This window comes from Homo sapiens, chromosome 12, assembly GCF_000001405.40.
Source record: "Homo sapiens chromosome 12, GRCh38.p14 Primary Assembly".
NCBI classification, from domain to species: Eukaryota; Metazoa; Chordata; class Mammalia; order Primates; family Hominidae; genus Homo; species Homo sapiens.
The window spans coordinates 85,824,553-85,851,330 of NC_000012.12; the positions used below are offsets into that span (position 1 = coordinate 85,824,553).

The following is a 26,778-nucleotide window of genomic DNA, read 5'->3' on the forward strand; positions in this document are numbered from 1 at the left end:
AAATTTTTTTATTGAAATCTTTAAACTATTTCTAAGTCCTGCATTTTAAACCTGTCTCTGTCTCTCTTTATCCCACTATCTCTTGTCTGCTCCTAGGGTTGCTTCCATAATCTGACTCCTCTAACTCATAGCCAAGCATTAATTAATATACACATTGAGTTAGCCATTCCTTACTTCTTGCTGATCTCTGACAGATCTACTATGAGAACAACCTGCTGTTACACATATTACATTATTGATTGCTAGACTGGAATGGACTGCATCTGCCACGCTTTTATTTTGACTTCGAGCTTTTCCATAACCTGTTGCCTTGTCCTGAAACACTCTTTGATCCCTTCTCCATCTAACTCTTACTCTGCTTTAGGTGTTAAGTGTTGCTTTCAGGAAAGTTCTCTGACCTTCTCTGAATAACCCCACTCCCACAAACCGAAATGGAAATGTGTGCTCATTTATTTATTTATTTATTTATGAGAGGAAGTCTCACTCCGTGACCAGGCTGGAGTACAGTGGTGCGATCTCGGCTCACTGCAACCTCTACCTCCCAGGTTCAAGTGAGTCTCCTGCCTCACCCTCCCTGGTAGCTAGGATTACAGGTGCGTGCCACTATGCCTGATTAATTTTTGTATTTTTAGTAGAGACAGGGTTTCACCATGTTGATACTTCTACAAAATCTAATGTACACTTAGTAGCAGCACTTTGTACTTTGGATAATGCATCCTTTTTTGCTAGTTTGCCAGTCAAGTCCTGGGCTAAGTCTCACTTTTGAAGTCTAAATGCCTAATACAGTAGGTATTAAACTTGGGAGTGGGGTAGAGATGAGAAGGGGGAGTTTTAGGGAGATATATAAAGGGAATTTCTCAGTCAATAATCTAGATCAAGTGTCTGAAAACTAAGGACCTCGTGGTTATAACTGCCCCACCACCTGTTTTTGTAAATAAAAGTTTTATTGAAACACAGCCACATCAATTTCATTATGTATTATCTATAGCTGTTTTCATACTACAAGGACAGAGTAGTTGAGATAGAGACATTATGACTGGGAAAATATAAAATATTTATTATGTTTTTTACACAAAAAGTTTGACAACTCTTGTCCTAGATAATTTGGCTGCCCCAGAAATCTGCACTGTATTTATTTAAATAATAAAATGTTTATTGAACTTCAATATCTACACAAGTTTTCTCTGTACCATTCTCTAGGAGATCAAAAGGTAAAAATAATGTGATCTTTACACACACACACACACACACACACACACACACCCTTACAGTCTAGTGGAAATAATGGCTATGTTTGAAAGCAATTTCAACCAAAGGTAATGATTAAAGGATCATTAAAAGGGTGACTGCCTTATGTGGCCTGACTGTGATTAATATAAGATTAGTCAGCCTGACAGCCCTGACTGGGAAACCAGTTTGTGTTTTGCCTTGAAAGCCCCACTCCAGGTGCACTGTACTATTCTGTATTAATCAGCCCCATATGGTTGTCAGGAGGGATGAGAGTGGGTTGGATGAAAGGCTGCTTTCACAGTCCCATGTCAGGTGCAATGTGTCCAAACACCAGGTGTTTACTGGTGGAATATTTAGAAACATTCAAATCACACCTTAATTTTCTTCACTCTTCACCCTGATGTTCTTCCCTCACCAAGCCTATCTCTGCCATATTTTCTGTTCTTTATGATGACACACATGTATCTCCAGTTACTCAGAACCAAAATCTAGTCACGAATGGTTCTTTTTTCCATCCTGATATTGGCCCCATGCACTGAATTTTGAATTCCTATAAATTCCGCCTCCATGGTGACTCTTGAATCATTCTTCTCTTTCTATTTAAGAAAGTCCTTTAACTCCCTCGTACCTGGCCCACTCGTATTCTTTCTCCATTCCTTCCAATATTTTTTTTTTTTTTTTTTGAGGCAGAATCTCGCTCTGTCGCCCAGGCTAGAGTGCAGTGGCACGATTTCGGTTCACTGCAAGCTCCGCCTCCCGGGTTCACGCCATTATCCTGCCTTAGCCTCCCGAGTAGCTGGGATTACAGGCACCTGCCACCGTGCCTGGCTAATTTTTTGTATTTTTAGTAGAGTCGGGGTTTCACTGTGTTAGCCAGGTCTTGATCTCCTGACCTCGTGATCTGCCTGCCTCGGCCTCCCAAAGTGCTGGGATTACAGGCATGAGCCACCGCGCCTGGCCCATCCCTTCCAATATTTTTAAATATATTTCTTCAAGTTTAATATTTATGTGACATAATGATTATATCATTTTCTTGCTCATAGCCCTTCAATGGTTCCCACCACAATATAAAGAAAAATTAAATTAAATTTAAAAAATAAAATAATCTGTTTGGCCATTCACAAACTCGCTGATACTATTATGCCAAATATTTTACATTTCTTCCTCTTTCTCCTTTACCTACAATATTCTTTTTCCCAACTTTTTATATTCTAATCTTCCCTCTCATTTAGATTCTAGTATAGACGCTGTTTTGTAAAACCCACAGAGGTTGCTTCTCCTTGTCACCTAACATACCACTCTATCTCAGTCTTGAGCTTCAGGCCCAATATCTTACTGAATACCTCTACTTTATGTATTTAACTGGCATCTGAAACTTAGCAAGGCTAGAGAAGAATCACTAATTTTCCACACATTCTTCCCAACATCTTCTGTTTGACAAATATCTTCAGAATCATCCCTGTTAAAACCCTCAGAATCATCCCTCATTTTTCATCTTCACTCACTCAGTACAAATTTAAGTTCTCTTTCTAAACTGTATCAATTTTGTCACCTACATTCCTTCTCTACTATCATTACACTAGTCATCATATTTTGCCTATACTACTGTAATGTCACCGCAACTAGAGTCCCTGCTTTCACTCCTCGTCCTAGTACAATTACCTCTCTACATCCTAGGCAAGTTGACCTTTTGAAAAATGTAAATAAGATTCTATAATTCCCCTGGTTAACACCCTTCAATGGATTTCCCTTGCATTTAAAGTACAATCAACATCCCTTATAATCCACAAATATCTAAATAATCATACTCCATCTAGGTCCTCAACTACATTCCCTACTCGTAAGCCCCTTACTAACTGGTTTTCCTTCATGTTTTCCACAGCTCCAAACCATATTCTGTCTCAGTTACTTTATACCTTCTGTTCAACCTGGCTAAAACAGTCTTCTACCACAAGCCTGACATGCCTGATTTCTTTGGTTCATTACAGTCTTAACTAACAAGCCAACTCTTCCCAGACCACTCTCCACTACATGAATCTAGTTTTTCCTGATAACAGTAATTACTATCTCAAATGTCTAATTCACATATTGTTTTTGCATTGTCTGTCCATCTACCACTGCATTATACATTCGATCAGAGGAAAAACCTTGATTATCTTTCTCATTACTTTATCCTTAGCATCTAGAAAAATATATGGCACATACTACAAGGTAAATAAATATTTATTATTCAACATATGGATTATATTATGACACTTTAAAATGCTTGTTTTGTATTTCAATTGTTTACATATGGCTTGTGTGTCTTGTTAATCAGCAAGCTCCTTAAAAACCTAATCCATACCTGATTTATCATTAATACTTCACAATATAACTCGATATAAATATATATGTGTGTATGTGTGTGTGTATTTAAGTAGATCACAAGTCTGACAGAGTGAGATTTGTGATCTACTTAGAACATCATGTATATTTTTTTCTGAGATGGTAAAATAGGTTTTCTAGTATCTAATAGCACAACAGTGTGGTTGTAGGCAGTAATAATTTAATTGTACATATTAAAATAACTAAAAGAGTGTAATCAGATTGTAACACAAGGATAAATATTTGAGGTGGTAGATACCTCATTTACCCTGATGTGATTATTATGCATTGTATGCTTGTATCAAAATATCTCATGTATCACATAAATATATATATACACTTACTATGTACCCACAAAAATGAAAAATAAAATATTATGAGCATATTCTGTAAAACAATACATTCCACAGTCAACCATTTTACTTAATCTTCTAAATTGTGATTACAGCAAGTTCTCCTAATTAAAAGTAGAACCACAAAAATTGCTTAACATTGTTAAAACAGTAACTTAGTCTATGTCTTATGGCTATTAATTATAGTTCTAGGAAGAAATTCCTCAACTTTCACTGCTGGAAGAACAGGCAGTCAAGGAACAAAGTTGACTACTTTGTGGTCTACCTCTGTAATGTGCGTAGTTTCCTGCACTATTAACAAAGATGAAACCTCAAAATTCTACTATGGCCTTTTAAGTGTTTTTACTAATCATGTATAATTCTTCTCCATATGAGAAGGTAGTTATTACATGTCTACCCCATAAAAAGGTCCATGGTTTATCAATAGAATCTCTCTTATCTTCCAGAAAAACACAAGATCTTATGTACAGAGCTGAAATAGATATCCTTTTAGGCTTTACTGTGGAAGACTGTGTTTTCCCAAAACAAACGCTCTTCTACTGAATGCTAAATTACCACACTTAACCATAATTTCAGGGATTCCAGTGGGACTGAAAAGGATCAGAGTAAATAAGGAGCATTAAGAGTAACTAAAGGTATATGAGGTGGCTACAAAATGTCCCAACCATTGGTTGAGAACAATAAACATGCACCAGAGGGCATATCAATAGGCCTCTCACACAAAGCTTCTAGCAGTCATACGCCATAATTAATGAGCCTGAAAATTTGCTGAAGTTGGACCACTATCTGCATCAATGGAAATAAAATTTAAAAGACTCATAAAATGGTAGAGTTACTCAATTTCAAGATCTGATACACGGACCAATTTAATGTGATTATTAGAATAAACAGAAGTCAACTGCCATTGACTTTCAACCGACAATGTTATATAAATACACAAAATTATTTTAAATACTTCCATTGTAATTGTAAAATATTGTTTTCCACCAACTCAACTAAGATTATGGATTGCCAAACTGACCATATTACTGCCCGTTTCTTGGATTCTTTTCTTTTGATTATCATATGTGAGTCAGTCTTAGCCCTGTATGATTCAGCCCCCTCCTACATATTTTTCTAAATCTTATTGCATTCCCTTCTCTTGTTCAAGCCTGTTGCCTGTGGGAGTTTAATAAATGCTAGCTAATTATGATGATGCTCATTTTATTTTCCTTTACCTCCATTTACTCCTCTCTTAAATATTTCTACATAGAGTTAATCAACATTTATTGAGCACCTACTCTACAGAGGAATAGCCTTCATCAACTCCAAGAGATTGTACTCTAATTTTCTTAATTGTATTGCAAAAATTATGATTTTGTCTACCCTGTCAAAGATAGTTTTCCATGGAAGAGTGATTTTAAAAAAGTTCTTGCATGAACTATTTTACTATAATAATGTTTTCTCAATTAGGAGTTTAATCTCTTAGGAATGGGGTTTTGTCTTTGCATGTCTGGTACAGTACTAAACACAGTTTACCCATCCTAAAGAAACAAAATTAAAAGGTAGCCACTCAGAACATTCCTATAACTGTGTTGCTAAACTATCTCAAATGAGTAGGAGATATGCTCCACATTCAACAGTGAGGTCTGTGGAATCCATTCAGTCTCACCCACCCAACTTCACTCATATGCATACCTGGCTGTGTTCTAGGGGGATGAGGGGAGGTAAGAGCATCCATAGAGAAGAACAAATGACCATGATTCTTGATTTGTTTTTCTACCAAAAGTCTGGTAAAGTTGTATGTCATCTATTTATTAGACATGGCCCTTTACCACTTGAAAGCCAGGAGCTGGGCCTAGGAGCAAGGAAGATGAGAGGTCAACCTTGCATTTATGGATTCATTCTTTAAGTTACCCATGTATCCACTTAACATAAATGCACTACTGATCAGCTGTATTTTAAGAGTATATGTTGAATTTCTTTATTCAATCAACAAATATTTTTTGAGCACTTACTCTCTGGCTATCTAGGAAGGAAAAATACAAGCAAGGTCCCTGCTCTGATTGGACCTATACTCAATGATTTTTTTAACAGAATGTTTAAATCACTTCATTTATAAAAGCAGGGTGCATTCTAGTCTGAAGATATAAACCTCTGAGTATAATTTTCCTTGTTTGTCAGCAGATTTAATTTGCATTGCTCATTCTTATACTTGAAATATCTTGTTTATTACTGCCAGTGCTAAACATCTTCCCAAGGCTCTACTCCACTTGCATAAATACTTTGTACTTGTATGATCATTTATATTAGTAATCACTTTCAATTTTATCCAACAAATACACAAACTTTCTCTAGAAGGTGTAGTACTACAACAGACTCTACAAGAATGGAATCACAATATATTAAAAATAGTAAAGAATTAGCACTTAAGAAATCAATGTTGTGTTTTGCCAATGTTGTGTTTGGATGTCAAGAAATTAATTAAGCAACCATACATTAAAGTCATTAGAATGCAGAAGTAAGCTGAACTTTTTCCTCTGACATATGCATGGTGCAGATATCATGAGGTTTCATTTTAGAAAGCTGATATGTAAGAGGCAAAGAGATTCCTTGTCAAGGACTGGTATTCATATACACCTGCAAGAGGTAAACACATACCCTTACTTCAACCTTATTTCATTTTCAGAACTACTATCAAAAGAATAGAGCCACATATTTGTGAATTATTTAGAGTTATCATCAGATCTCCTGGAACTACATGCCAATAACATAACATCAAAACTTCCTGAGTTATACAGCCAACGAACACATTATCTAAATTAAATTGTTAGACAGCTTCAAACTTTTTAAAACTTTTCTCCAAAAAATTAATTTAAGTACTTCTCGCCTTGACATGTGTCAGGCACTGACACTGTAGATAATACATTTTATGTAGTACAAAGCTGGCTTAGATTTTCTTGAAAAACAATTCAGGTTTAACCTAGAGCTCAATTTTACCCTTGGCACAGCTCTCAGGATATTTTTGTCAGGGATAAAGCATTCCAGTCATTGTTCCTAATGAGCTATCCACTGCCAACTAATAACTACTTAAGTTACCAGGTATAATCAGGGGAAATCACTTTCAGGAACTCCTGAGAATTTTGAAGATTTACATACTCAAATATCTGGCACTTCTCCATACAATTTTGGATACATTTTAAATCTTGATTGGAAGGATAAACAAAATAGTGCATAATAATTTCCCACTCTGCAGAATTCACAAATTACCATACTTCTAATAACAGAGAGAAGACATCCTTCTTGTCAGCAACTTTTACCCTAACCACAAAATTTAATTCTTTCTTCCGATGAAGCAATCATTGAATGATTTACTTCTAGTGACAATATAATGTACTTGGCCTTAAGAACTGTTGTCTAAATATGTTCTAATTGATGCAAAAGCAACCTGGAATGCAAATTTTATGTATCAATTATAAAACAATAAAGCTATAATATTTTATGCTAATAAATTCAGGACAAGCAAATTTTTTGGAGTCTTTTAATTTTAGGTTGATATTACAAGCATGTCTGCTACAGCCTGTGGTGGATATTCATATATCAGTACGTTTTGTGAAAGCCGAAGGGAACCCTTGAGATGACTTAAGGGAAAATGAGAGAAAACTAAATAGCACTTCAAAATAATTTTAAGTGCCCTTTAAACTGGATTCAATATTTTTATATTCATTATTTTTTATCTTACAAATCACCTATGCAAACTATTCTAATTTCCTATTTTGAAAAATACATTGGACACTATTTCATTATGGTAATGTTATGCTTCTAGCAAGGTTTGGTGAAAGTACCAACCAATTCTCTGTCTCCAAATCTTATTAATTAAAACACTAAGAAATCATACCTTACAACCAAGTGTTCCAAAAAATGGTTTATAATAACATTCTAGTTATCTGAACTTTTACAAAATTTCTGATTGCTATTTAGACACATTAACATTAAAACAATCCTTACCTTGAAAACCTAATCTAATATAAAGACAATCACATTCACAAATGGAATCTATGTGAATGGTAAATAGGTTCATAATCTAAATCCAATTGTTGAATGTCCACATGAATCTCAAATGGACTGGTGTTTCATTATTTACTACTTTAGCTTTTATGTGAGGAACACTGGTTCCCTAGCGACTTTTAGAAAACACTTTCAGAACTTGAACAGCTTACTGAAAAAATATCTAGACTCTCAAACATTTGTATTCTTCATGTTGAACAAAAAGTCTGATGAAGAAGATATGCATCAAGAATCTTTGGAATTCAGTCATAGAATATTCTGTTTTTCTGGAATCAAAATAAATAATTCATCTCCTAAAAGCAACAGATTCTCTTAAAACCGAAGTCTTCCAATTAAACATTACTACAATTAGAAAAATTCTAAAGATTAACTCTCATTGTAAACAGAAAGAATTTAGGTTGGTTCCATGTCTTTCTATGAAAGTTTGAAATGAAAAGCCTGATTATATTTGGGCATACAAACTTTTTAGGCTTTATATTTAGGCATCTATTATTCTCAAATTTCCTGAATACTATTTCCCAAATTGTTGAACTAAATAATCTTTAAATTTAGAAAAAAAATTATGTAGTAGGATAAGATTAGGTTGGTTTCAAAATCCATATAATTATGTGTCCATCTCTTTAGGTTTTGAATTATATTAAATATCAACTAACCCTTTAAAAAGTATTCACTTTTATATAATACCAGCTGATGTCACATGATGAATAGAGAATAAAATAATTAGTATATTTATGGTTTGAGTAAAAATTATAATTCAGTTTACAAAACTGAATAAACAATTGTATTGTAGGTCTACCACATGGCAGGCACTGTCCTGGACATGAAAACACAATGGTGTCTAGACAGATATGACCCCACCTTCTCCAAGCTTTATGGTTTGTATTTTCTAAAATTTTGTATTGCCTCATACTTTGAAGTTTTAATTGCATCCTGTCTGTCTCTAAAACTCTCAACTATCCATTTATTATAAGCACATTTATAGTACTATCTCATGAGGTTCAATTTTGGGTAATTAAATATCACTCCAAGAGTGACCAAAAATGAAAAGAGAGGCAGAGAATAGCATGCAGAAAAATTCTGTAAGCAGACTTTCTCAAAATTTTATGATCTTTAATCCCCAATGTTCCTTCTAACAGTTCATATATTTTCCTGCTGATAAAGATGCAATTATGCTCAAGTAGTTTTTTGTTATTGTTGTCTGTTATATATCATAAGGCATATAAATATATTTGTTATCCAAATTCTTACTTTACATTGTACAATAAATTTTATATGTCTGTATTTGAAGAATATAGTGACTCTTATCAGATAACTGTCTTATCATAAATCACATTTTCCAAGAAAGGATAAATCACTCATCATTTAAGAAAAGATATTTTGTTTCTGTGCTTTAGAATGTGGTTATTCAAATCATTATGGAAACTGTAAACAAAATGAGTAAACTTAATCTTGCAAATAATTTTCACCTGTGGTCTCACCTCTGCTAAGGTGAAAAAACAAAACAAAAGACCCTGTATATAGCATTAGTAAATACCAAAACAAATATTAATTCTATTTCAATACACTCTGTGATCTTTTCACTGCTTAACTTGAAATACCCATATTTTTGTGTCCTAGACCACTGCTGTGGTTTAAATCTTTCTTAAGGATTGAAAAATACAAATCTGTAAAGGGAAATACTTTCATTAGAGAAGCTTACCCATATCCTTACTATTGCCACCTTTTCCAAAACACTTGCGTTTATAACAAAGCATCATCTTCAGGAGCCATTCCATTTTCTGAGAAACTTGAAATTCAACACTATTAAACTCTCTTTTTTATTTTTATTTTCACCTTTTCATAATTTTGCATAGAAAACTTTTAAAAAATGTTTGCATACTCACCTCCTCGAAAGAAAGCTAGTTTTATAGGTAGAGTAGATAGTAGAGTGGCAGAACTGATGTAATGAAATTGAAGAATGCACTTCCCTGAGGGAAACTCAGGGGCGCATGCAAAGTTTTATTGCCCTGTATTTGGCATACCAATGACAGAAATCTCAAATTGCTAAAGCAAAACAAAAAAACCTCAAACAAACAAACAGAAAGCCCTGACTACAGGGATAGTATGCCAGAAACACAACTTGATTTATGAAACCATAAAGTTTTCCAGAGTATTTTTATACATTTGATGACATTTAAACAAATGCCAAAATAATACTACAAAAATACCACTACAAAAATATCATTTAAAAAACAGAGTATTTTTATTTTTGGCTTGGGGGAGGCTTTTCTGGAATATTCTAGAATATTTTAAAATGCATTGTCACCATCAAAACACAAATTTTAAATACTCAAACCACTTTATTTTAATATAGTTTCATTATCTTTAATTACCATAAATAGCATATTTGTGAAATATTGTCAAATTATTAGAAAATAAAGCTTACTTAGAAACTTTTACAGTATTTATTAAGGCCATTTACTTTCTAAAGGAAATTTTGTCACCTAAATCATGAATACATTTGGAATGAGTTAAAAACAGGATTTTCAAAGTAGACATGTGTGCGCAAAATAAAGTATGGAGATTTACTTTAAAGTTGTATTACTCTATATTGTCATGTAGACACTTTAAAATAATTATATCATTTCCTACCATGTAATTGTATCCTTTTGAATCTGCACTGAGCAAATTATGACAAGTACAAACAGGCATGATTGAGAGAAAAGTGGTGGACAATCCCCTATGCCAAAATAAATATATTTTTAAAAAAATATAGCCCATGTCTAAATTTATTCTCAAGTTTTTGGCATGAAAACGTAACATTTGATGTGTAAATAAAATATTTAATAAGACTAAGACAGACATACTGTCCCTAGAAAAATACGTGTGTGTATGTGTGTTTTGAGTAACTTATTTATACTATGGGCATTTCAAGCTTGAAATATCAAATCAAATCAAAGTAAAACAGTAATAATAAGGATTAGAGAGGATAGCTGCTTGAATCCTTCTTTAGTGCTTAAAACTACCTAAAATTCTCAAAGATTTTTTAAAGAATCAATTCAAACAAAGTTTCTCTCCAGAGTGTTTCCACTTTGGGAACATTCCAGGTTTCAGGAATGCCTCACTCTCAGGGGAGCCAAAGCATTGTTTCTGAATTGTATCAGCAGTTTTATTTTTCATCCTACTTAGTGGCTATAAATACTAGTTACATCTTTATCAAAGTTTTAATTATTTCTACAATATTCTAAAGTTCTGTTGAAACAAAATGACACTTTTTATTGTACTACCCTCAAATGCCCAGGGCAACAAAAAAAGAAACTGTTTATGTTGCTAGTTGTGGAAACAGGACTGGTCAAAAGGGGAGAAAGGAGTCAAATATAATCACTCTTTATTCTCTGCGATCCTTGAGCTGGTCACTCCCATCATCAATACTGGGAGAATATCCTTACTATCTAGGTATTCATACTAGCCTAACTCCTTAGGCTAGGACTGTGTCCCCACGAAGCCTTTTTTTATCAGAATCTAACAACCACAAAACACATACTTTCACAGGTAGGGTCCAGAGTACACACACAAGACACACACACACACAGAGACACACACACACTTACTCACACGCTTGACTTTACCTGTTTTTATGCCGAGTCTTTAGCAAGTTTCTTCCAAAGGGAGCCATGGTCTGTCGGGCAAACGAATAAAGAAATTATCTTAAAGTGATCTGAGGGTGGGGGTGGGGGTGTCTGGATTTCCAGGGTGAAGGGAGGAGGGCTGGAAGCTTTCTCTTCTCCTCGGATGTTCCTGGCTTTCAGCTCATTAGTAGCCGGCTGAGAAAGTTGCTGGAAGTTGTGCAACTGCTGCTTAACTTTGAACTGCGGGATTGTTGTGGCTGCTGCACCTCTGGAGACCTGCCCAGCTTCAGCCTCGAAGAAGGCGTTTGGAAGCAGGAAAAGAAAAAAAAAAAAGAAAGAGAGAGAGAGGAAGGGAGGAGGACTCTATTGTGTTCTGTAGTTATTTGCAGACTTAAAGAACTGCCAACCCCACAAGCATGGTAATACCAATGGAACGGGAGTTTCACTCGATCTGGAAATCCCCCCTCCCCCGCTTTCCACACCCAACCACACAAGGTGTACTGAACACACATAAAAGGATTAAAAGTAAATATCCCCCAACTCCTGGTCAGCTCCAGTCTGTGAAAAGTCATCTGATCATGGCAAGCATGAGGGATTGCTGAGAACTCTCTTTGCCAACTCATTCGACCCCAGATCCCCTGCCAGGGTGTCAGGACTTTAAAATATATTAGGGAGAGGGAAGCTGGAAACCGGATCAAGGTGGACTCACAGACCACTTAGAATTGTTAAGTCCCTGAGTTCACGGTCTTAAGAGTTTCTTCCAGGCCCCTGCTCCACACTCTCAAGTTCATCTTGCAAAAGTCGAAGGACCTGAAGGACCACAGGGCTCCAGGGCTGATGCATCACAGTTTGGTCTAGGAACCAGCTGGAGTTTAGTGTTTGACTCCCAAGGCGTTTATGTTGACCCCTACCCCATCTTTGACATTCACTGGGCCTTTAGAGCCCTGGGAATTTCAGAGGAAAAGCAAACTGCTCCTGCCCCTCAAGGAGTAAAGAAGACACACCGAGGGGATCTGCTGGAGCTCGAAATGTGAAGTGGAAGTCTAAGGGAGGGAGGGCTTCATCTGGTCCCAGGAGAGCTCGAATCCAGAAGCAGGGCAGAGGAATGGAGATGGGAGAGTTCGGGTGCCTGTGGGAGGCCCAGCGCAGCTCCCACCAGGTACCTGGCACTCATGGGAAAGCACTATTTAGGGGCAAGGGCCAGGAGAGCTTTCTCATGGACGTGTTTTACTGGGATTTTGCCCCTCCTAAAACCACCCCACCACCCTCCACCCCGCCAGGCTTCTAATCATGGGCTTCCCAGGCAGACGATGAGGGAGGGAGGGAAAGGAAAGCCAACAAACTTGTGAGTTCTTTCTGAGCCTTGGCAAAGAATATGAATCGCTCCTACTTACTTTGGGAGTTTATCCCCTACCCCCAACAACACCAAACAAAAAAATAATCTCAAGGTCTTCCATGATTCTGATACACACTGATTTATGCAGTGCTCAGATAAATCATGTTTTTCATTATTTATTATCATAATCTTTCTCTATTCATCTATATTTCATGTTTCTGTATGTGCATATACACATGTGTCCTATACTATTTCATTATTTATAATATTTTCTTTATAATTTTATATAATAAATCATATATTATATCCATATATGCACCCAAATCATTATGAAGTGAAAAACATTACAATAGCCAATGTTAAAGTTTAGTTACCTTTTTATATCCCTGGGAGTTAGGATAACTAAAAAATACATACCCATCTTAATTTGATATGGTCAGTGATTCCAGAGAAAATCAAGACACCAAAAATAGTAATGACATGTTCTGTGTATATATATGTATATATGTACACATATATACATGTATAAACATCTGTATAAACATCTTCATCTTTGTAAACATAAGTATATATATGTGTGTGTATATATATATATGTATTACATGCTATGTATATATGCACTTCACATGCAACATAAGCTACATAATCTTGGGTGTATTTCTGTTTCCGTTCTTGATTTTGTTTTACTAGCACCTCACAAGAAATGATTTAAACTATTATGGAAGTTTACCTAGTTATTCTAAGTTCTTCAAAATGTAATCCCTTAAAGCTATACTGTTTACTTATTAATATAATTGTTGCAGTCAATTTGCAAATAATTTCACATTTGCAAATATCCCTGTTTCCTTTAGTTTCGGTTCTCCATGCTTAGTAACATTATTTATATACATATGTGTACTATATTTTTCAATAAAAGAGTTTTAATGGGGAATGAGGAAACAATACTATGTCTTTACTAGCATAATCTTGTGTTGAGTTTCAGGTTATCACAAATGAGTTTCATTTAGGTGTCATTAATCCTCACACAAAATGCCCTGTTAATATTTTTCATGACAAGCTCTTTGATGTATAAGAATTACACATAAAAGGGTTTGTACACATTAAATATATTCCATTTTTATTTGACAATTATACCTTAATAAAGCTGAAAGAAAAAGCACAAAGGGTTAATGTCTCTCAGATAGTAGAAGTGGAAAGGAATAAAAAAAACATGAATACTAATGCCTTAATAGAAAAATAAGCAAAAGCAATCTTAAAAGAAAGTAACGAAACCATTGTTTTTTTTTAATTTTTAATTTTTTTATTTTTTTGAGTTAGGATCTTCCTGTGTGGCCCAGGCTAGAGTGCAGTGGCTATTCACAGGCACAATTGTTACACACTACAGCTTCAAACTCCTGAACTCAGGAAATCGTTTTGTCTCTCATCTAAGTAGCTAGTACTACAGGTATGTTCCACCATGTCCAGTTAAAACCATGCTTTAAAAAATTGACTACAATCAGCAATAATTTGTTGTATATTTTAGAATAATGAATAACAGAAGGAGTACAATTTAAAATGTTTGAAACACAAATAATGAATGCTTGAAGAACTGAAAACTTCGTGTACCCTGAGGTGATTATTACACACTGTATGCTTGTATCAAAATATCTCATGTACCCCATAAATATATACCCCGTATATGTACTAGTACTTTTAAGTAACCTTCACTAGTAACTAGGTATTGTATAGTTACATTGAAACAAGACTTTGTTTCACATCTACCAAATTGACTACTTTTTAAAATGATGATGCTCAATAGTGTTCATATGATGATCATAGTATACTACTCTGCATAAATATTAAAAATTGGCATATCTTTTTTGAGAAATGAATTTGGCTATGTAGAGCAATAACCTTCAAAATATTCAAACTCTCATTCAAGTTTTTCTCATAAAAACTTCTTGGAAGAAAATAATAAGTTTCAGAAAAAGTCTTATGCTAATTGATATTAATTCTGAGAACTAAATGAAATAATGCGTACCAATCGCTGACATATAGTGTTAACCTAAGTACTATTTTTATTATAGGGTTGGATAAATTATCTCACACTTGAAAATAAAACAAATGGATGACTGCATGTTATTTCAAAGATATAATGGACTATTGTCTAATAGACCCTTTCAATGATTCTCTGGAAGAATGCATTTTTTCTTACTTACTATTTTTATTAGGCTGAGAGTCCATGAGATTAGATGTTAAATTGTTTTTTTAAAAAAGAGTAAATTTTGTTGTTCAGTAGCAATACTAATTATTTTATCTAGTAGGAAAGATAACACAAAAGTTGTAGTTTTATTGCCTTGTAGAACATCAACCAACTTTACATTTATTTAATTTTCTTTCAGCATTCTGTCTTTAATTCACTGTTTATCCGTAACAGTCTTTCTTACTCTCTTTTGGACCAGCTTTATAATTCTGCTGGATCCTTCACTAATGAGTTAAGTCAATTTTGTCACTTGCTCGCTACATAATTGTATGAAATTCATGTTTTGGCTTCCTGAAAATTACATCCTGAAAAACTATGAGAATACATTAATCCCTTTTCTGAACAAATAAGAAGTCTTTATAGAAGAAAAATGGCTACTTATCCATATAATTTCTACTTTTCTTAAACCATAAAATGTGCAAAAAATGTTTGATAGTAGAAAATATAATGTCCTTTCATTCATTTATGACATGAAGCTCAGACAAAATAGATAGAAAAGATGTATTCCCTTTCAAATAGATTAACATATGAAAAATCAACATTGAAGATGACATATTATACCTGAAAAAGAATAAATGTATATTCTCCGCAATTAAATGAAAATTATTTAATCTTTGGTTGACTTGATATCAAAAGCTAGGCATTGTTAAAACATGTAGTCTGGTAGAGACCCGGCCTGTTACCATATGAAGTCTTATTTGTTTGTTTGTTTGTTTTGAGATAGTGTCACTCTGTCACCCAAGCTGGAGTGCAGTGACACCAATCTTGGCTCACTGTAGCCTTGACCTAAGGGACTCAGGTGATTCTTCCACCTCAGCCTCCTGAGTAGCTGGGACTATAGACATGCACCACCACACACAGCCATTTTCTGTATTTTTTTGTAGAGATGGGGTTTTGACATGTTGTCCAAGCTGGTCTCGAACTGCTGGGATCAAGCGATCCACCTGCCTCAGCCTCACAATATGCTGGGATTACAGGTATGAACCACTGCACCTGACCCATATGAAGATGTATTAATTTCCTTTCTGACAATTAAATTTCACAACTATTTGGGCTGATCTAATGCATGCAAAGAATGGAGAGCAAAGTCTTTGTACAGCTCCCTGACCGTTTACATCAATGTCTTGATTTTCTTCCTCCTGCAATACGTTATAAAACTAAAGTTTTAAAAATATCACTCTCATTTTCATCTTAAATCCTTTAAAGACTCTTAGAATTCAGCACAAACTCTGTAGGTTATCATTCAAGGCTCTTTATTACACAAGCTTTTCTGACTTTTAGCTTTAGTATACATGACTTCACTAAAGGGGCGGCAGATATGGCGTGAGAGTTAAGAGTGTTAAGTTTTGGAGCTGTACAGACAAGGATCCATGTCACAGCTCTGTCACTTCCTAGTAGAGACCTTGGGTAAATTATTTAACCTTCCGAGCCTCAGTTTTCTGATCTGATAAATGGAGAAAATAATAATAATGCAACCTCATTTTCTTATTAAATATAAGTCTGAGAGAATTTTTCTTCTAAAAAACTCTTATAAAGATGAGCTCTCTTCTTATTGCTAGAAATTTACTTTTCACATTTTAATTATTAAATTGGGTTACTGATATAATTACAATAGGCATCTGTGATAAGAGCCAGTTGTCCCCAGGGCCTTCATAAAAAGAACAGCAGAGCTGAAATTCTTCTGATTACACAGATACTTGACTGTGAGCCAATTTGTCGCCACTTACACGGTAACCTGTGAGGAAATAACATACTAGAGAGCTTGTTATAATCAATCAGTTTATCTGATTTACTCAAAATCCCATTCTCAATCAAGCAAATAATAATAAAATAGAACTTCTTTTGTATGGAAAAGAGAGAGAAGAACTCAGAAATAATTAGAGCTGGCCAGAGGGTAGGACCATAATTTGAGTGAGAATCTTCGGACAACAGGTTGTGGCAAAAGGGCATTGTGCAAAACAAAGCCATTTACAACAAAAAGTAGGAAAGCCCCCAAAAGTCAGTAAAAATAAATTCTTAAATTGAATACCAGAGCTACTACAATTATTATCATTATCTACATGTACCTATCTTCAGCAGTTCGTTCCTGTCTTAAATTTGCTCATGGTAATAGGAAACTGTCTCTAAAAATTGGAATGGATGAGGCTTCTCTCACAAAGCCTTTTAAATATGGATGGTAGGTGTCATGGGTTGTAAATTAACCTCTCTAAAAGGTTTTAAGCATAGAAGAAATAACTATCTTGAATGGATTAGGTATATCTCAGAAGCAGGGATTCCCTTTCAACTCTAGGTTTCTATGGTATCAATGCTCTTTTGATTCTCTATAGAAGTTCAGAATGGCACTACTAAGCTTTGAAGTAATTACATATAGTCAGATAGTATAATTAGCCATCCAGTTACAATAGGCGATTCCATTAAAAATAGATTTTAATAAATTAAACTTAATATTTGAGTAGCTAACTGGCTGAATGTTGGCCAGATACCTGTGTCCTAAATAAAAGGCCAAATGTCTTCACTTAGGAGCTATGACTGTTATTAATGAGTATGTATCTAATGTATCTAATGTGTTAATGAGTATGTATCTAATGTATCTAATGAGATAAATCCATATAAGCCTGGCTACTGGTGGAAATTGCTCTACTTTGAAGAAATTTTGAAGGCTATAAAACACAAAATATGCACATAACATAAAATATGTGCATATAGGTATATAAACACCATCAAATATACATTCACCTTCTATGGTAAATGATATAATATTATGTTGTAGTGCTTTACATAGGCATTTTTATATTTGGTGTCTTATTTGGTCACAGCGTGCTGAGCAGGAAAGAAAATAGAATCTCAAATTTACAGATAAGAAAAGTGAGGTTGAGAGCTATGTGATGATTGAATAATTAATCAAAACCAAATCAAGACCAACCTATTGCTGTTAACAAAAATAATAATTTATAATTATAATATAATCACTTAATTGCCTTTGGAAATTTTCCTTAAGTGATACTTTACTTTTATTAAGTAGATTTGGGACTCTTTCCTTTTTAAGACTTATTAAAGATTCTGTGAATGTAATGTGAATTCAACACTGTACAAATTTTATTTCCTTATGATATGGAGAACATCATAGGCTCATATGTATCAGAGCACTAATACTAATTGCTACTGATTGAATTGTGTCCTCCACAAAATTCATATGTTGAAGCCCTAAACCCAATGTGACTGTATTTAAAGAGAGAGCCTTTATGGCAATAATTAAAGTTAAATGAGGGCATACGGGTGGGTCTCTAAACTGATAGGGTTGGTGTTCTTACAAGAGGAGGAAGAGACAGCAGAGTTCTCTCTCTCATTACTCATAAACAGATAAAAAGTCGTGTGAGGATTCAGCCAGAGACGGTGGCCATCTACAAGCCTGGAAGAGAACCCTTACCAGAAACTATTTTTGGACACTTTGATTACGAACTTTTAGCCTCTAGAACTGTGAGAATATGAATTTATGTTGTTGAAGCCACCCAGTCTGTGTCATTTGCTCATGACAGCAGACTAATACACCAATAATATGAAGCAGATGAAATTGGGCTGACTTTCCTTGGAGAAGGACACCATAGTACCATTTGCCCTTTGAGTAAAAACTACCCCCTCTTACTATGCTTTTGTATTCTGGAAGAAGAGGTGGATGATTTGCACCTGCACCTAGGAGCCTCCTGGGAAGCGCAGGGTTCTGAATCCACACTTACCCTTTGAGCAGCAATGTTACAGAATTTTTCAATGAATTAAGGTTTCCTATTGAACTGAAAAGATACCAGTGATGCTAAAAGTGATCCAAATCCAAATGTAAGTAATAGCAGTGGCAGACCATCTGAAGCAGCCGCTGCCACGGCTCAGGCTGCAATGGGAAGGCACAGCCGGGGTTGCATGCTCCACAGAGCCAGCGGGAGCCAGGGACAAGTGGCAACCCCGCCCTACCGAGGTGGCAGGGCAGGAGCTCCCTGGGAGCAACTGCAGCTGTCCAAGCCATGGCTGCGGACCCGGGCCTCCCTGTGCTCTTGGAGGCTGGGAGCAGGCCTCCTGTCTGCCCTCCTGGGCACAGCTGAAGCCACCCAACTCACAGTTGCAGACCTGGGCCTCCCTGTGCTCCTGGGGGCCGGAAAGAGGCGGGAGCCCCGCCCTTCCGGGCCCAGATGCAGTTACCCCAGCCGTGACTGAGGACCTGGGCATCTCTAAGTCTTGGGGATCCAGAAATACCCCCTTTCATGCCTCAGCAGGCTTGAAGGTGTCAGCTCCAACTGCCTGGCCTCTCCCAACTCTCGGCACCGCTCTGATCTCAGAGCAAGACTGGGGCTGAGCCCCGGTGCTGTCACAGCCCAGTCGGGTGTGTACACACTTGGGGCAGCACTGACATGCCAGACCTCTGCTGTCTCAGCCCCCTCTGGACTTTGGGCTCTGATAAGCACAAGAGGGAGGCCAAGTGGGGACTGAGGGAAGCTCGGCACTGGCTTGCCTGGACCTTCTTCATGAACAGCCTGGGCACCATAGAAAGCAGTAGAAGGCAGACAGGCTCCAAGGAAGAAAGGGATGGGTCCCTTGTGAAGCCCCACCTTCCGGCTGGGGAAAGCCTAAAGCCTGGGGGCCAGGCGCCAGTCTCCTGGACCACAGAGGGAACTTGTGGTGTTTTTTCCTGTGCCCGCCCATGGCAGCCCATGGACCAATCAGCAGGTACTTCCTCCCCTCTGAGGCCCATAGAAACCCCAGACTCAGCCAGAATTGGGGAGACAATGGGATGACTTGCCTGCAGAGAGGAGCTACCTACTCCAATGCCTCCTCTCAGCTGACAGTTGAACACTGGATGGGACAACCTGCCTGCAGAGAGGAGCTATCCACTCCAGGGTCTCCTCTGAGCTATTCTGGCACTCAGTAAAGCTCCTCTTCAACTTGCTCACCCTCTACTTGTCCACATACCTCATTCTTCTTGGAGGCAGGACAAGAACTCAGGACCTGCCAAATGGCAGGGTTGAAAGAGCTATAACAGGGCTGAAACACTCCTTGCTCACCACATTGCAGATGAAGGGGAGAGAAGAACTATGGCCCTTCGGGGACCCCAGACCTGGGAAGCTCCCCGAGCCAGGGCTGTTACTCTCTCTTTGGGGCCCTGCAGGTCCTGGAGTCTCCAAGCTTCTCGGCACCACCACATTCCCCAGTGTCAGCCATGGAAGCTGCTTGCAGTGTACCTGGTCCAGCCACAGCCTCTCAGTGAGCTGGTGCCCATGCCAGCACCTGGAGCTGCCCATCCACTGCAGTAGCCAGCGTGCCTGACTTTGTGCAGTGGTCGGACCCCATGCTCCCTTGCTCTCACACACCTCACCACTCCACATCTGGCTTGCCTTAGCAGGAATGGAATCCAGGCAGGTAGCGTGAGCCGAGCACAGCCTACCAGGCTGAGTGGGCAGAACAAGCCCAGTGGACCTAAGCAAAACTCGGCAAAGATACCACTGTTCACAGAGGTTTCTGGCCAGAAAAACGACACCCGAAGGATCCTGTGACATAAGAAATTTCTCAGGTTACAGCTTTCTCACTAGAGTTCAACAGAAAAACCTGCAGGCTTATGAGCAAGGATTTTTTTCTGGAAACCACTCAAAATACAACCACTATGGATCTTCAGATTCTAGCTAAGTGTGCGAGTTTCTGAGAGAACATCAGGAAGTAATGTTTGACTACATGACCTTAAGGTTACTTCTTCTGCACTTGCAGGGGTCTGAGCTTGTTAGGGCAGTGGTCGCAGATCTGACTTTGTTCACCTAGTTTTTGAGATTGAAACCTTTGAGAGCAATAGAAAGCAGGGCAGCTAAAAAGCTAGAACTGCAGGTAAGCTGTTCACATTTGTCAATCTCGGCTCACTGAAACCTCTACTTCCCAGGATCAAGCAATTCTCCTGCCTCAGCTTCCCGAGTAGCTGGGATTACAGGCATGCACCACTACCACCCGGCTAATTTTTGTATTTTTAGTAGAGACAGGGTTTCAACCATGTTGGCCAGACTGGTCTTGAATCCTGACCTCAAATGACCCACCCTCATCAGCCTCCTAAAGTTATGGGATTACATGTGTGAGCCACCGTGCCTGGCCAAGTGTAGAAGGTCTTATTAAAATACTTGTAATGAATAAAAGTGGGTTAGCTTCTAACAAATATTGGCAGAAGTAATGGTGTATCATTTTCAGTATTAGGTTTTAAAAGACTGGCTTCTGTCTTGCTCTGGGGGAAGCCATTTTGTGACCAGCCCTATGGAGAGGTGCACATGGTGAGGAACTGAAGCCCCCTGCCAATAGCCATAGGAGTCAATTTAGATACTCCAGTCCCTTCAGAGATGGCAGCCCTGGTCTACAGTTTACCTGCAATCTCGTGAGACATCTTGAGGCCTTAGCATCTAGCAAAGCTGCTCCCAGATTCTTGACTCTTACAAACTGCTTTAGTTAATAAATGTTCCAAGATGCTAAGTTTTGGAGTAAATTGTTACACAGAGTTAAATAACTGTTACAATTAGACTTAGTAGGTATCAGAGAAAGGTAGCATAAAACAACAAAAGCAAGCCACTTTTTAAACATTAGATTGGCCAAATTTTAAAAGAATAATCCTCCCCATTATCTACCAGGCACACACTATTGATGTGTATTTAATTGAAACTCCCTGCTTGGGGAATAATTTTCCAAAATTACATCTGTAAAACTTTAAAGTGCACATTTCTTTCTTTTTTTACTTAATGGTTCTAATTCTAAAAATCTAACCTAAAGGAGTTCAACATTGTAAATGCCCCAGAAGGTATATTTTGGCATCATTGCATGCAATAGTAAAAAATGAATTGTCTAACAACTATCTATTATATGTCAGGCACTTGCCTTAATGTTCACAAAAGCCTATGAGATAGGCTCATGTTCAAATCTGTTTTATGATAAGGGAAACTCGGAAGAGAGATGTGAAATAACTTGCTTGGGGTTACAAAGCTACTAAGAGGCAGAGAAGAGATATAAAGCTGTGCTTTTAGCAATTACAATAGGCAGCCTCTTGTATAAAGAAATATATTGAATGTACTTTAATAAGTGAATGTTTAAATACAAAAACACACCCCAATTATGGACCTTTTGATACAAATGTTTAAAAGAATAAGGTAGATCTGTAGACAATTTTACAAAGTGATGTCAGCGAATATTTTTCTTTCAAGTGAAACTACATATCAATGGCCTCTAACTAAATTTCCGAAGGGTGTTAAACAGGTTATGCTAATGAATATAGTGACCTAAATAGCTCTAGCAGATTGCCCCTATGTGGAACATGGGTCCATTATTTCTGCAGTTTCTGATTTTTTTTTCGAGAGAGAAATCCTAAAAATCTGACTTTTCAAAAGTGAAATCTTGTCATATTAAATGAATGGTAATAAATTATATTCTTAAAAATCTAAAATCAAATATGACATTTCTGAATGCAGACGCCATCCACTGTGTTCCAGATTGCAATCTCCCTGTACATTAACAATAATAAATTAAGAACAGTTATTCAAAGCCACCTGACAAAACTTCACTGAGACATGATTGACTCCATTATCACATCTAAATAAATAATGCCTTAGTTAAAATGACATTGGCCACACACTGGAAGCAGAGTAAAAGAGAGAGAAAGAAGTGCTGCACCCAAGCAATCTCGATACAAGTATTGCCATCCCAAGAATCTATATATCAGGTACTTACATATTGTGGACCCTGCATATGTTTATAGCAGAATGGTTGAGAACTTGGACTCTTGAGCTATACTACATGTGTTTGAAGCACAGTTCCACCACAAACTGCTTATTCAAACTCTGGGCCTCCGTGTCTCTATTTGTAAAGCAGGATATAATTGAATCCCATAGAGATGCTGTAAGAAAACAATGACTCCATAAATACCAGCTATTATTAATGTGGAGATAAAGTACTGTATTACCACAACCAGGTGCCAGAAAACATTCTTATTATTTACCAGCCTTTCTGCTGACTTCATTCTCACAAAACAATTCCTGATTATAACCACTTGTGTGCAATGAAAGAATGTCTTGGCCTGAACGTGTGAAAGCAAACACTGTAGTAAAGATCTTAGTATATTTTTAAAAATTGCTACATTTTACTTTTATTTTTTAAATCAACAGATAAAATTGTATGTTCTTACTATTTACAAAATATTTTTTGGAGTATACATACATAGTGGAATGACTAACTTGGTTAATTAATATATGTATCACCTTACATAGTTATTTTTGTCATAAGGACCCTTTACATCCATTCAGTATTTTCGAGAATACAATATATTGTTAACTATAGCCAATATGTTGTACAAGAGATCTCTTGAACATATGTCTCCTGTCTAATTGAAACTTTGTGTCCTGTTATCAACATTTCCAAACACCCACCCCCAAAACCATTCCAGTCCCTGGTAACCATCGTTCTACTTTCTACTTATCTGAGTTCAACTCTTTCAGATTATGCAGTATTTTTCCGTTCGTGCCTGGCTTATTTCACTTAATGTAGCATCCTTCAGGTTTATTCATGCTGTCAAAAACCATATAATTCCCTTATTTTTATAGCTAAATACTATTTTATTGTGTATATTTATCACATTTTCTTTATTCATTCATCCGTTGATAGACATTTTGGTAGATTCCCCATTTTAGCTATTGTGAATAATGTTGCAATAAACATAGAGGTGCAGATATCTCTTTGAAATACAGATTTCTTTTCCTTTGGATATATGCCCAGTAGTTAAATTGATGGATCAGATGGCAGTTTTATTTTTTTATTTTTTGAGAGACCTCCGTACAGTTTTCCATAATTACATTCCCACTAACTGTGTGAGGACTTCTTTTTCCCCACATCCTAGTCAACATTTGTTATCTTTTTTTTTTTATAGTAGTCATTCCAACAGGTGTGAGGCAACATCTCATTGTGTTTTTAATTTTTTAATTTGCATTTCCCTTGATGTAGAGCATTACATACAGACACACACACACACACACACACACACACTTACACTTGTTGGGCATTTTGTCTCATTGGGAGAAATAACTATTCAAGTCCTTTGCATATTTTTTTTTTTTTTGGACAGAGTTTTGCTCTTGTTGCCCAGGCAGGAGTGCAATGGTGCGATCTTGGTTCACCGCAACCTCCACCTCCTGGGTTCAAGCGATTCTCATCACTCAGCCTCCCTAGTAGCTGGGACTATAGGCATGCACCACCATGCCTGGATAAATTTTTGTTTTTTTGTTTGTTTGTTTTGGTAGAGACAGGGTTTTTCCATGTTGGTCAGGCTGGTCTCAAACTCCCAACTTCAGGTGATCTGCCCACTTCTGCCTCCCAAAGTGCTGGGGTTACAGGTGTGAGCCACTGCGCCTGGCCCTTTTGCCTATCTTTTAATTGGCTTATTTATTTACTTGGTATTGAGTTGAGTTACTTATATATTTTGGATATTAGCACCTTTACAGATGCATAGTTTGCAGATATTGTCTCCCATTCTATCAATTGCATATTCACTATTGATATGGTCTGGCTCTGTGTCCACACCAAAATCCTATCTTAAATTGTAATCCCAATTGTAACCCCCACATGTTGGGAGAGGGAACCCCGTGGAGAGGTGATTAGATCATGGGGATGTTTCCCCATGCTGTTCTTATGATAGCGAGTGAGTTCTCATGGTTTTATAAGGGTTTCTGCACTTTCCTCACTTTGCTCTGCAATCCTCCTTCCTGCCGCCATGTGAAGAACATATTTACTTTCCCCTTTGTCATGATTATGTTTCCTGAGACCTCTCCAGCCCTGCAGAACTCTGAGTCAATTAAGACTCTTTCCTTTATAAATTACCCTCTTAGGCAGCTCTTTACAGTAGTGTCAGAATGGACTAATACAACTATATTGATTGTTTCCTTTGCTGTGAAGCATCTTTTTAGTTTGATATAATCTCATTTGTCTATTTCTACTTTTGTTGTCTGGTTTTTTTTTTTGGCATCCTATTAAAGAAATCATTGCCCAGACCAATATGATGAAGTTTTTCCCTTATGTTTTCTTCTAGCAGTTTTAGAGTTTGAAGTGTTATATTTAAGATTTTTGTTCATTTTGAGCTGTTTTTTTATACAGTGTGATATAAGAATCTAATTTCATTCTTCTGCATGTTCATATCAGTTTTTCCATTACCATTTATTGAAAAACCTGCCTTTTTCCTATTGTTATACTTGGCATCTTTGTTGAAAATCAATTGGCTGTAATAAATGTGTGGATTTAATTTTGAGCCCGCAATCCACTTATGTTTAATTTCAACATTTATTTTAGATTCAGAGGATATATGTGCATGTTTGTTACATGGAAATATTGCATGAAGTTGAGGGTTAGGCACATTCGATCCCATCACCCAGGTTGTAAGCATAGTATACAATAAATAGTTTTTCAACCCTTGCCCCTCTCTCTCCCCTCAGGCCCCAGTAGTTCCCAGTGTCTATTGTTGTCATCTTTATGTCTGTGTGTACCCAATGTTTAGCTTTTTCTTATAAGTGAGAACACGTGGTATTTGGTTTTCTGTTTATTCAATAATTTGCTTAGGATAATGACCTTTAGCTATATCCATGTTGCTGCAAAGGAAACAATTTTGTTTATTTTTATGGCTGTGTAGTATTCCATGGTATACATGGACCACATTTTCTTTATCCAGTCCGCCATTGATGGGCATCTGAGTTGATTCCATGTCTTTGCTATCATGAGTAACAATATGATAAACATATGACTGGACATGTCATTTTGGTAGAATAATTGATTTTCCTTTGGGTATATAATCAGTAATGGAGTTGATAGGTTGAAAGGTAGTAGTTCTATTTTTGAATTCCTTGAGAAATCTCCAAACTGCTTTCCACAGTGTCTGAGCTCATTTACATTCCCATCAACAATATATAGGCATTCACTTTTCTCCATAACCACATCATCATCTGTTATATTTTAACTTTTTAATAAAAGCCATTCTGACTGGTGTTACTTATGTCATTGTGGTTTTGATTTGCATTTCTCTGAGGATTAGTGATGTGGAATATTTTTTCATGTTTGTTGGCTGCTTATATGTATTCTTTTGAGAAATGTCTGTTCATGCTTTTTGCCCATTTTTTAAAATTGGGTTATTTGTATTTTACTTGTTGATTTGTTTAAGTTCCTTATAATAAGGTTCTGGATACTAGACCTTTATTGGATGCATAGTTTGTGAATATTTTCTCCCATTCTGTACTTATCTATTTACTCTGTCCATAGTTTGTTTTGCTGTGCAGAAGCTCTTTAGTTTAATTAGACATCTTTTGTCAGTTTTCATTTTTGTTGCAGTTGCTTTTGAGGACTTAGTTATAATTTTTTTGCCAAGACCAATGTGATGTATAGAAGTATATTTCTTATGTTTTCTCCTAGGATATTTATAGTTTTAGATCTTACATTTAAGTCTTTAATCCATCTTGAGCTAATTTTTGTATATGGTGATAAGCAAGAGTCCAGTTTCATTCTTCTGCATATGGATAGCCAGCTATTGCAGTGCCATTTATTGACTATAGAGTACTTACTGTA

The 26,778-nt window shown here is 36.6% G+C and overlaps 1 protein-coding gene across 1 annotated transcript in view, besides 2 other annotated features; it reads right to left on the minus strand.

Moving 5' to 3' along the window:
* The window catches only part of RASSF9 (Ras association domain family member 9), a 35,707-nt gene extending 23,850 nt beyond the window's left edge, over window positions 1–11,857 (minus strand). Inside the window, exon 1 of the mRNA NM_005447.4 lies at window positions 11,603–11,857. Within this exon, the coding sequence (NP_005438.2) occupies window positions 11,603–11,649 (47 nt within the window). The 5' untranslated portion in view covers window positions 11,650–11,857. The remainder of the gene's footprint in view (window positions 1–11,602) is intronic.
* Window positions 18,664–19,408: an enhancer, noted in NCBI's record as "H3K4me1 hESC enhancer chr12:86236994-86237738 (GRCh37/hg19 assembly coordinates)". NCBI's record gives its function as "activates a minimal SCP1, AML or CMV promoter by ChIP-STARR-seq in naive H9 embryonic stem cells {active_cell/tissue: H9 hESC(naive)}" and the evidence as "EXISTENCE:reporter gene assay evidence [ECO:0000049][PMID:30033119]".
* Window positions 19,409–20,153: an enhancer, noted in NCBI's record as "H3K4me1 hESC enhancer chr12:86237739-86238483 (GRCh37/hg19 assembly coordinates)". NCBI's record gives its function as "activates a minimal SCP1, AML or CMV promoter by ChIP-STARR-seq in primed H9 embryonic stem cells {active_cell/tissue: H9 hESC(primed)}" and the evidence as "EXISTENCE:reporter gene assay evidence [ECO:0000049][PMID:30033119]".